Source organism: Homo sapiens, chromosome 11 (genome assembly GCF_000001405.40).
Source record: "Homo sapiens chromosome 11, GRCh38.p14 Primary Assembly".
NCBI classification, from domain to species: Eukaryota; Metazoa; Chordata; class Mammalia; order Primates; family Hominidae; genus Homo; species Homo sapiens.
Window position 1 is genome coordinate 5,064,725 of NC_000011.10, and position 13,005 is coordinate 5,077,729.

Consider the following 13,005-nt stretch of genomic DNA (forward strand, 5'->3'; position numbering starts at 1 on the left):
AAAATGTGTATGCTACTTCTGTTTACCCATCCCTTCATTAGCTTATTGCTTTGTACTCTTACTCCTGGTTAGAATGCTCAAGTTGGGCTTCGTTCTGCCTAAGGAGTCTAGAAGGTTACCAGCTTATATACCAATGATAAAGGAAGCCTCTCATTTGTCCTGGAGTTCTGGAAGCCTGGGGGAACTGTAGCTACTCATGCTATATGGGGAGTAGAGACCTGTGGGTCTAAGGGATGTCAGTTGCTCAGGTAGAGGTACAGGGAATTTCCATACAAACTGAGAATTCCTAAGGGAGGTTCAAGTGGGAGAAAATCAAGGAAAATCTGATCCTATCTCTGCTGGCTGGATGAGCTTAGATACACAATGGGGAGTGGGTAAGCTCCAACTATGTAAATTTTCAACAGCCTAAAGGCACTATGTGAATATTAAAATTGTAGAATTGAATAAAAAGAATATGGCACTAAAATGGTTACTAGAAGTGGGCAGATTCTAGAAACTACTCAGACATTTGGTAATCTCCTAGGGAACTTCCCTAAGTGTTAAGAGTGAGCCAGAAATAGATGCATTCACAGAGAGACTGACATAGGTTCAAACGATCTCAAATGCTGCTTTAAGATCTGAGATTGTTAGTGACCATGGCCACCTGCCAGAAGCAAATCTAAAGCTAAATCTTCTAAGTCAGAATAGTATTGTATAAATTATCCTTGGACTCAAATTATTAATATTTCTAATTTATTTTCCACAAAGTATCTTGCATCAGCATAACCATGCAGAGAAAGAATCAAACAAATGTGTCATAACACCAGTTTTTTTTAAAATAGGAATAAACATAGGAGATCAAATAATACTATTTTCAAATAGGTCTTATAATAACTGTAATTAAATATACTTAAGAAAATTAAATAAAATTTGAAGTGTTCTTTAAAAAACTAGAACTCTTTTAAAGATTCAAATGGAAACTCTGTATGTGAAAAAAAAACTTGAATTAAGAAATCAAGAGTCTTTACTTCTATTCTGTGAAGGAACTGTAAAATTGAAAACCTAATTAATGCCCAAAGTTGTGTAGATCTTAAATAGCAAAGCTTTCAATGCGGGCCATCAAGATTCCTAGCTATATTTCTTACCTTGTACTTTATATATAGCCCAGAAAAACCCCAAGATGAAAATTATTTTTAAATTGTTATATTTTGGAAAGTTCCCAGAAAACTTAGAAGAAACCAATAAATACCAACACAAATATTAATACAAATCTTCTCAGGATAAATACATAGTATATCAAGAGAAGGATTGCTGATAATGAATTTCTAATATAAATGAGTAAGTCAGTTTTATATACATGTAAAAAAGAGGAGAAGGAAAAAAACACTGTAGACACTATATGTGAGGTACAGCATAAACAAACAAATTAAAAAAATAAAGCAACCTATGTGGCAGGTAAGATAATGGACCTCAAAGATAAAGGGGAATTTAAGTTGCAGAGGGAATTACGGCTGATGATCATCTGACCTTAAGATAGGGAAGTTATTCTAGATTATGTAGGCATGTTCAATGTAATTACAAACATCCTTACAAAGTGGAAGTAGGAGGCAGCAGAAAAGTCATTGTCAGAGGGATGTGATGTGAGATAGACTGCATAGGCCATTGCAGGCCTTGAAGATAGCAGGAGGCCGTGGACCAAAACATGTTGGCAGCATCCAAAAGATGGAAAAGTTAAGAAGGTGGATTCTCCCCTAAAGGTTACAGGTGTGAGCTACCACGCGGGGCCAACCTTGGACATCTTTTCCCATCTGCCAATAAGTCTGCACAAGTGGCGTGTGGCAGTCCCTCTAATGGCTGTGCCCGACTTCCCGGTCTGATCCTCCTTGATGGCTCCTTTCTTGGGTTTAACTCCGTGGGTCGCATTTCCTGCACAGCCATTGGCTGCCGGCCACTACTGCCACCTTTGTCTTAGAGAATTTAATTTGGTCATTAGTCTACCTATTGTGGTGCATGGACTAGCCCCACCCTCCTTGAGGTGTTCAGGACAAAGAACGCAGAACTGATACCAGCAATATTGTTAAAAAATGCTTAAGGATTTTATAAGACTTTTTAAAAAATAATATCATATTTTTTAAAAATATTAATTTTACCATTGGAAATCAGATAATCCTATATTTCAGAATCTGGTCTCAGAACCAGGACATGGGTTGTCTATGTACAATAACACTCAATTTCACAGGAAAGGGTTAATACTAAGCTCAGAGCTTTGCAGGTCCCATTATCTCCAGGGTGTTCCAATATAAGGTGTTGCAAAGATCTCCCTCTGGATGTTGTGACCACGGTACAAAACCCACCCTCATAAGCAAATGGAATTCAGAAGAATGTGAAGGGAGATTTGCTTACTTCTGCAGGTGTTTCTGCTGGTAGGTAACATTTTGGAATTATGGATTCTGATCTGTGGCTGAGAACAATGAAAAGAGCAGAAGATGATAAAATAGGGGAAAGAAAAGAAAACCTTCTTATTGAGGGAAGTGGATAAGAGAGCTTACTGTAAGAATTTATTGGCATAATTTCATATACACTTGAGCAACTACTACCTTCAATTGTTTCTTATACATCTTACACAATCTTTGTGTGAAGCTCTGACATCTTTTGATACTTTTGCCATTCTGTGCACTAGAGCTCTTCACAGCCAGGTAGTGATCTATCAAATTTCTTTCCCTTCATGTTTTCTGTGTATTTCTCACTGTTCCCTCTCCTTTAGTCCTTCTAACTTAATCTAAAGATTAGATAAATGGTCCCAACCCAGGCCCATGTTTGACACGGAGAAAAAACCATAATTGAAGTTACCTTAAACCATTCAGAAATTATCCCTCTCCAGTATAACACAACCAAATTACATGCTACTTTTCTCTGACAGAAAGTAGTCCCAATCATTTTTCAATGGTGCAGTTTCCAAATGTGTGATACAATTTATGTACAAATGTCAAATGATAAGAATAATCATTTGTACTGGATTATAAACATTAAAAATGCTACCAAAATATTTATATGCAGATAAAGTATCAGGATTGAATGTCTGCTAAATTATGTAAAGGATTGCCTGACAAACTGTATAAGCAAGTTCACTATAGCTTTTTACTTTGTCATGTTCTCATCAATAGGATAACCAGTCACTGTAATACACTTTTTTGATGAGACATCTCGAGTCAGACATACCTTGCAAAGCTCTTGCAATGCAGGCATTTTACTCTCATTTCATAGGTATGGAGTCTTAGACTTAAAGAAGAAAAATAATGTGTTCAATATTACATGGAAATGAGAAACAAAACATAGACTCAATTCCTAGTGTTGGTTTCTAAACATTATTCCATTTTCATATACTAGGCCCTGTTAAGTTAGCTAAACCAAACTCACAAAGAAGAAATCTGAATATAGGATTCTGTCACATCTCTTTCACCAGTCTCCTCAATTCCAACACCACATCTTGCATATAGTCACCACTGATGAAATTAGGATAGTTTTCCAAATAGTTATTTTTTTCTGAGTTACTCCTCTTCTGTTTCCCAATTTGCTTGTTTTGGAATAATTATCTTAACTCAATTTCCTTTTCTTCTCCCTATACCTGATCAATTTCTACTTTCTAAGATTTCTTAAGAAATTTGCCCAACACCCAAGCTGCAGTGCACCCTTCCAAGACATACACACACACACACACACACACACACACACACACTAGTGTGTGAAAGAGTTTTTAATCACAGTGTGCTTGACCACAGTTTTATAAAGATAAGATACATCATAGCAACACAATATAGCAAGACAAATGCTAGACTCACTATCAGGAAGTGGTGTGTACAAATTAACTTACTTTGCCTGACAACTTTGTGATGTTTCATAAACTTGAACACTAATGTTTGTGTGTGTACATGTTCGTAAATCTGTTTCTTTCTTGACAGTTATCAGCAGAAAGACAATTAGAAATAGCAAGGTTAATCAACAGATCTGAAATGAAGAGGGATATGTGCATTCCATTGTAAGTAGACCCAGAGTAAGAAGATTATCTTGAGAGGGTTATCCAGAGTAAGAGGTTTCATTAATAAGACCTCAAGGCAGGGTTCCTCTCTAATATTGGCACCCACAAGAAAGGAGAGATTGGAAGATGACTTGGAATGAGAAATGGACTTGCAGACTTAAACGATAAAACACCTGCACACATCCAAAATTATCTTAGACTGTTCCAGTTGTATACATTTGTGGTTTCTTCGAAGAGTGGATTACATATTCTCAGCTCATAAATGTGAACTATAATGGGTCTGGTCATATTTAAATCATGTGTCTACTTATTTGTCCATAATGTATGTATCTATGAATTAAGCAGTTTCTCCATTAAACAATGTTAAAATATTTTCAGGAGAATCTTATGTGCATCTAAAGTAGTAAGGGAACAATTTTATCTCACCAATATTTTATAAGTTTACATTGCTGATTTGGGTAACTGTTACAACTACTAACACTAACTTTAAACCACTATGTTGCATCAGAAAATAAACCTTTAGTTCATCTTTTGCAATCAGTCACAGCATATAATCTGGTACTTACGTGGTAGATAATTAATGTTTGTTGAACTAAAATATTGAATTTACTTGAATGAATCTAATGAAGTACATTTAAATCTTTGGCCACATGTTACCATTAAATTGTACGTACTTTCAAGCCTCTATGATGCAGAAATATAGCAGATATTAGTTTCACTGATTTCTTTGTTTTCTGTGTGCACTAAGCAAGGATAAGGCCCACTCAGTGAACGAGAGACATTTAGTTTATAATATATCTTAGCATAAAAAGTTCCCAGAAGAACAGCCTCAATGAATACCACTCTATTTCATCCTTACTCTTTCCTTCTTCTGGGAATTCCTGGGCTGGAAAGTATGCATCTCTGGGTTGGTTTTCCTTTCTTTGCTGTGTTCCTGACAGCTGTCCTTGGGAATATCACCATCCTTTTTGTGATTCAGACTGACAGTAGTCTCCATCATCCCATGTTCTACTTCCTGGCCATTCTGTCATCTATTGACCCGGGCCTGTCTACATCCACCATCCCTAAAATGCTTGGCACCTTCTGGTTTACCCTGAGAGAAATCTCCTTTGAAGGATGCCTTACCCAGATGTTCTTCATCCACCTGTGCACTGGCATGGAATCAGCTGTGCTTGTGGCCATGGCCTATGATTGCTATGTGGCCATCTGTGACCCTCTTTGCTACACGTTGGTGCTGACAAACAAGGTGGTGTCAGTTATGGCACTGGCCATCTTTCTGAGACCCTTAGTCTTTGTCATACCCTTTGTTCTATTTATCCTAAGGCTTCCATTTTGTGGACACCAAATTATTCCTCATACTTACGGTGAGCACATGGGCATTGCCCGCCTGTCTTGTGCCAGCATCAGGGTTAACATCATCTATGGCTTATGTGCCATCTCTATCCTGGTCTTTGACATCATAGCAATTGTCATTTCCTATGTACAGATCCTTTGTGCTGTATTTCTACTCTCTTCACATGATGCACGACTCAAGGCATTCAGCACCTGTGGCTCTCATGTGTGTGTCATGTTGACTTTCTATATGCCTGCATTTTTCTCATTCATGACCATAGGTTTGGTCGGAATATACCTCACTTTATCCACATTCTTCTGGCTAATTTCTATGTAGTCATTCCACCTGCTCTCAACTCTGTAATTTATGGTGTCAGAACCAAACAGATTAGAGCACAAGTGCTGAAAATGTTTTTCAATAAATAAAACATAGCTCATTTATAAATATCAGATTGATTATCAATATTATAAATAATCATATTTACAATGAAAGTGGCATGAATTTTCTATGTTCAAAATAATAACAGAACATTTGGAAAGTATTTAGGACCATCTTAGGGGAGGACTGAAAATGGCAATCATTTGGCAGGTGCTACCCAGAAATGGAAAGGTAAGCCCATGTCAAATGGATAGATAAGAATGTTTTCTAATATTCCATTGTTGGGACATGATTCAGATTCCTAATATGAAATAATATGAACACGTTGTCCTGCATCCTTTATGACTGAGCATAGCATAGCCATAGGCAATTTAAAGCAAATTCAAACAAAAAACCAGAAACAAGCCAACAAAAAAACACTATAAAGCCCTTTATATCTTGAGTTTAAACAAAAATATCGAGGCATCCCAGTAAGTGCTGGTTCTATACAATAAACATTGGAGGATTTTCCATATACCTGGACTATCAAAAATAATGTTATTTTTGACTTTGCCATAATAACGTTGGAAGGCATAAAATTGATACTATGAATATGATAGCTATGTAAAAAGCTTGAGGTCTTCCACCATAAAGAGAATAGCAGAAACTTAGAAATCTTGGTAAATTTGTAGTCCTTTTTTTACAGAAAAAAAAAATAGTCGTGTTGTATTTTTTATGTGGTGGACAAGTTTTTATAAAATCTAACTTACTGATAGTTCTTTGAAAACGAACTGTTCTTTTCCAAACAATATTGTTTATGTGTCTTTTTTTGTGCCATCCCTTAGAGAAGTTTCACTTTTATGGAATGTCAAAAGTCCAAGTGATCTTCTAAGTCTATCATTACCTAAGTGTTTTTTGTTGTTATTGTTGATTGTTGTTTGTTTTAATGAAAGTTTAGTTCCATGTGATATAATTCAGTGCTCTCCAGGTCCATGTGACATTATTGACATTATGAATAGACAGATTCAAGAGAAAATGTGATCGTGAAATTTGGAAAATTCTAACTTTCTAACAATGTATTTATTGCAGGACCTCTCAGACTTTTTAATTTACAAATACTCATTTGAAACTTTGAATCAAGATTGGTGTCAGAGTGCTCTTCTTAGGCCATCCCATGACACATATTCTATAGAATGCACTTTTTAAAAAAATCCTACTTATTGTTATTATAATGGAAAATATGTCAAATATTCTTAGGGGTGGATATGTATTAATTAACATTACACCCTGGACTAGAAAATCTACGAAAAAAGTCAGTTATACTGTGTATTTATAGGCATTATACTTACACATTAATTATGTAAATATAGACTTTTCCTGGACCCCAACTGTGAGACTGAACTCATCGTTTACCTATTCATTTATTCTGTTGTATTGCTTCAGCCTCAATCCTAGGCTAGCACCATGTTCCTGGGCCTTGGAGGTGAAAAGTTCTCAGTGAGTGATTCTGCCCCTCCCCAAGCTGCAGGAGACTTCAGATGATCCTGATTCATGCTGTGGTTACAGAATGTATTTCTGCTCCTTTAAGGAACAATGATCTTCACATGTTCTGTTCCCCTGGTGGCTGAAGGCATTCGCTCCTCAGGGAAGAGGAGAAACAGGGAACTGGGTGAAGTGTGATTCCCATCCTTCTGTGGCTGCTATTCCCCTCTACCAGGTCTGTTCCATTAGGAACGCTTTTTCAGGCAGTCCTGCCTCCAGTCTTTCTAACAATTACTTGGTAGAAGTCTAGGGAGGACAACCTGAGTGGGAATGAATTCCCTCATTTCATATTCTCACATAAGTCTATACTTCACTTTGAGGAATTTGCTTTAAAATTTTAGTAAATCCTTTTTACTGGCTTGTGTAGAATCTGACATCTGGCCCTAATAAACTAGGGATCATGTTCCAACTTTTCTTGAAGTTGTCTATCTTTCTTTATGTTAGAATTAGTTGGTTGCTCTGTGATTTTAACTAGTTGATCAGTCCAAGAAAATTGCTAGTTTTTTTTTTTATTGTACACTTTTTTTGGCCATAAGCTTTTGAGAGCAATGGTCTTCCAATGTATACATGCTAAATAAAAACAAGAAGTCCTGGTAGAAATTTTAAAGCATGCTGTAGCATTTAAGTGGAAGGGCATCTATATCCATTGGTAACTTCCTATAACTCTGTTTCTCCAAGGATGGGCTGTGAACCACTGAATCATAAATATTATGATGATTGTTGAAAAGCAGATGTTATGGAAATCACCACAGAAATTTTGAATCTGATTGCCTTACAGTAGACCCAAGCAATCTCTAAGAGGCTTCAAGCATTCTAAATTTGAGAACAATCACTCCTGAAAGTTGAAAGTTGATTAATAATAATCATTTGACCATCAAAAGGAAATACCAGGATCATCTTTAGAAAGAGAGGTAGTTGCATGCAGAATTGGCCAAACCAAAGCTGAACACCACTACCTCTATACCTCTACACAAACACACACACACACATGCACACACCTCTGACTTGGCCTAACCCACAGCAAACTTTGTTTTTACTTACCTGATATTCCTGATGTCTTGTATTCAGAAACTATTACTATTTCTATATAGTATAGTGGGTAAGAATATAAATCTAGTGTCAGACACCTTAGGTTCAAATCCTGGCTCCACCTTTACCATCTCTGTGACTGTGGAAAAATCAAATAATTTCTGTGTGTCTCTGTTTTCTTATTTGTAAAATAAGCATATCAATATTAGAAATCTTGTCAGTTTGCAGGAGGAATTACTGAGGTTAAGGGATCTAAAAATTCAGAATGAACTAGCGGAATGTCAGCACCGTATAAATGTTATATGTTATACTGGAAAGAAATGTCTATGTATTTGAATCAACTTTATCAAACTACTGGAGCAACATGTTTCTCCCCACTCTTCATGTTCAAGTTATAACCTTTCTCCATATCCTGATTCACTATGTGCTAGGGAGAACGATAAGAATAATGAGAAAGGTAATAGATTTGCAAATTTGGCAAGCATAAACTGAGTAAGTTTAATTAAGCACCCCTCCCCTCAAACACACACACTCTTTTGGTAGTAAGTCTTTCTAAATAAGTTGTATGTGTTTCCTCATGCTCCGCCACGTGGTAAATCTTCCCATTCTGATGAGAAATATATGCCTGACTCTGGGGGTTACTTACGGTGTTCACTGGCTCTCAAGCCAAACAAAGTCCTTTACAATAGCTTTAATCACTAAGAAATATTATATCTAGAATTCATCCTTCATTATTTTATTTTATCTCAATCTCTTCAGAAATCATATGGGAAAGAAAGGCTATATTTTTGTGTGTCCAACACTGAGATCCTGCAAATCATTACAAATGTTGCCTTAAGTATAATTGTATTTCCAGCGAATTCTGGTTAGTAATTAAACACTGACTAAATGAATCTAACTAAAGTGAAGGTGGTCATGGAGAATGGTATGAGCAGTAGTAACAATTTTGACAGCTGAGTCTGTGAGAAGCTGTGTTGCTGAAAGCCCCATTCAATGACATTCAGCTGTATATAAAATAGTTGTGAGACTACAGAAAAGTTATTTCTTTAGAGGTAGACTTCAAATCTCAAGTTCTCTATTCAGTAACCCATCAAATATGAGTGTGCTGAGCTATTTATTATCTGGATTTCTATGATAACCCCCAAATATTGCAAGGGTTGAGTGATTATGCATACAGAATGTACAGTAAAGAGCTGTGGACCGCTTAATAATATTTATTCTCTTCATAATTTTTAGCTTGAGGGGTAAAGTACTTGATTAAAATATTTTTCCAGTGGTCAACTATTAATAACTTTTCTGTGCCTTAATTTGCTCAATTTTAGCTGCATATACAAGTTACCTAGAGAGTGTTAAAAACACAAGTGACAGAACACTACCCCCATTTCAGTTCTTCCTTCTCTAGTTTCACATGAACAAACTCTCATACAGTATGTAGACTTCTGTCTGTGTTGTTCACTTACTCTAATGCCTGTAAGATTTATCCACGTGAAACTACACATACCAAAAAAAAAGCAGCAAGATTTAATGATGGTCACAGAGAACACATAATTACCTACAAATTCATGGTAATTTGGCCCACCACACACTGATTAAAAGCAAAAATAGATTTCAGAAGATTATAGAAAATGACTTCAAAAGACTAAAAGAATGTAATAACTGGAAAGTAGAATTATGTAGCTAGAAAAATTTCATTCAGGAATGAGGGTAAAATAAAGAAAACTTTAGATGAACATATAACAGAGAAGTTAGCACCAAAAGACTCTCAAGAAAGTGCTGAATTGTGTACCTGAGAAAGAAAGAACTTCAGCCAAGAAGGATAAACTGTGGCAAACAAAAAAAGTAAGTCTTATGATAAGACATACATGGCCAACCAAAGATCTATGATTATACATCATGTCGATTTTAAACATCTCTTCTTCTTCTTCTCCCTCTCCTTCTCCTTCCCCTTCTTCTTCTTCTTTCTTCTTGCCGCTAATGATTCCCCATGAACTTTTTGCTTTGTTTTGTTTGTTTGTTTATTTTGAGAAAATAACACTTTGATAAAGAGTTCTACTTAGTAATATATCTGTCTCAAGATAATGATTGTAATAACCTTCATACATCTTAGCTAAAGAGCCTCTCAGGATTGAAATGAGCAACACCATTCTGGACATCATAAGGAAGGATAATAGGCATTATATAAAAATGCTTCTTCCTTTTGAAAATTTTTTAACATATCTGTACTCAGCATAGTGAATATAGAATAATCTTTATAGATCTGAAGAAAATATCATGAGACTATAAAATATGTAGTCATATCATTTAAATGGCCAAATGTTGCTAATAAACTCAAACTGAATATTTTTTTATTATATATAAAACATATGATCTCAAGGTTTTAAATGTTTAAGATTTCAGGGAGGTACACTAGGCTTTTATCCGTTGAAAACATTAAGAGATTTTTTTTGACACATGAAAAATGAATAAAATTCATCATCACACATTTTGTTAAGCAAATTTAATCATCATATTTAGTCATCATATATCAGAAAGAGTTGATAATAAAGTAAGATTTCCTTAAGAGGGGGGAAGGAGAAACAATGTAGGAATAAACTGAAAAATAATTGCAGCATTTTAGAATAAATTCCAAAGTGTTGTCAAAATAGTCCCCAAAAAGACACAGTTCAAAGTCAGATTTTCTCATAGCCTCCTCTTCTTTTTTTTTTCCTTTCCTCTGCCCCATGACCCAAACCCTACTCTTCTTTTATTAATCTGGTTTCCAAATATGTTCAGATTGATATCTTCTATAATGGCAAGATTCAGATAGTTATGACAGTTGAAACTTTGAAATACACTGTTTGACAGTCATATTATTCAAATTATTAATTTCAAACAGTCTAACAAGATTCAAATGTCAAGTAATCAAATTCAAATATTTACCACTACTTGGTAAATATTTCTAAAGTGCATAGAAAATCTAAACTTATATCTGTTTAAACTTATAATTATGTTTAAATAAGTTACTTTCTACAGAAAAATCTTAGTTTTCTGATTATTAAAAGAGGGCCTTAATAAAAAGACCTTACATTCTAAGATAATACAATGTTTTGTTCAGATATTTCTCACCAACAAAAATGATTTACTTAGAGGCTTTGAAAAACTGAAAACTTTAAGGAACCTGTCCCAAATCCTTTTGGTTCTTACCCCATAGATAATGGGGTTCACCATGGGTGGGACAAGAAGATAGATGTTGGCCACAAATATGTGAAAATGGGGAGCCACATGGTGCCCAAACCTGTGGGTGAGAAACGAGAAGAAGGCTGGAGTATAGGATACTAAGATGACACAGACATGGGAGCCACAGGTGCCCAAAGATTTGAGCCGGGCATCTTTGGATGGGAGCTGGAAGACAGTGTGGAGTATGAGGACATAAGAATAAATGATCAATATAAAGTCTACCACCCCAGTAAGGAAGGCAACAATGAGGCTGTAGGCTCTGCGGAATTTTGTCTCAGCACAGGCAATCCTGATGAGGGCCATGAACTCACAGTAGGTGTGAGAAATGATATGGGTTCTGCAGTAGGGAAGCCAGTGTAGTAGGAAAGAGTGAGGACTGAGAAGTGCTATGCCCCTGAGAACAATAGCTAGGCCCACTCTCCCAATTACAGCGCGTGTCAGAATAGCTGAATGTCTTAATGGATTGCAAATGGCCACATATCGGTCAAAAGCCATGGCCAGGAAGAAGCCAGATTCCATGGTGGAGCAAGAGTGAATCAGGAACACGAGTGAGGCAGGTTTCAAAGCGAATCTCTCCATCATGGAACCAGAAGAGACTGAGAAGTTTGGGCACAGCTGTAGAACACACAACAAGATCAACTACAGCCAGCATGCATAGGAAGAGGTACATTGGCTCATGGAGGCTGGGCTCTGTCTTGATGATAAACAGAAGAGAGCCGTTTCCCAGTAGGGCCAACAGGTAGACCACACAAAAGGGGATGGAGATCCAGATGTGAGCAGCTTCCAACCCAGGAATGCCAATAAGAATAAAGGTTGATGGACGGGCATTGGTGTTATTGTATGCTGACATAACAAGGGTCAAATGTTTTTACTTTCTCTTCATAAATTTTTCCTCAAAAGCAAACAAAAAAATAATTAATATATTTTGAAATCTGGTGGGTTAAGAAAGTTAAAGTAGAGGGAACTGTAGGTCATGGAGAAATTACAATGTCTATAAAAATTTAGATAGAAATTATTTAATTATTTGACAGAGAGTCGTATATTATTACAGAGTTACTCTACCACAAAAAGGGTACTGTTAGAACAACATTTTGAAAATCGTCTTCGTCCTCTAATAGTTCTTTTTGTTTATGTGTTTGTTTTGTTTTCTTCTTTTTAGAAAAACAATTGATAATGTTCATCAGACACTCTCTTTACTATTACAGATATTTGTAGATTATAGGATCTCTATGATCAGGAAAAATAACCCTTAAGTCAGAGTACAATGCTGTCTGGTTTGGAATATGTATAGCAGACTGGACCTCAATGTTGAACTGAAATTATGAAACATAATTTAGCTTCTTAATTTGTTTGAAATTTCATACCCAAAGTTACTGCTTAATTTGGCTATTTGACCTTCAGTGTCTGTAGGGGATAGATATTCCCTTTTAAACATAAAAACAGCTATATGTGTCAAGAAAGCCTTGGAAAGTCTAAGGAATATTATTTTTGAATTAGGACATATACTGGAGAA

General features: G+C 35.9%; 2 pseudogenes across 1 annotated transcript; one reads left to right on the forward strand and one right to left on the reverse strand.

Moving 5' to 3' along the window:
* The first annotated feature begins 4,847 nt into the window (after window positions 1-4,847).
* OR52E1 (olfactory receptor family 52 subfamily E member 1 (gene/pseudogene)) lies at window positions 4,848-5,773 on the forward strand (annotated as a pseudogene). Its single transcript, NR_145505.2, has one exon. The product of NR_145505.2 is annotated as an olfactory receptor family 52 subfamily E member 1 (gene/pseudogene), transcript variant 1, noncoding (transcript).
* On the reverse strand, window positions 11,388-12,342 carry OR52S1P (olfactory receptor family 52 subfamily S member 1 pseudogene; annotated as a pseudogene).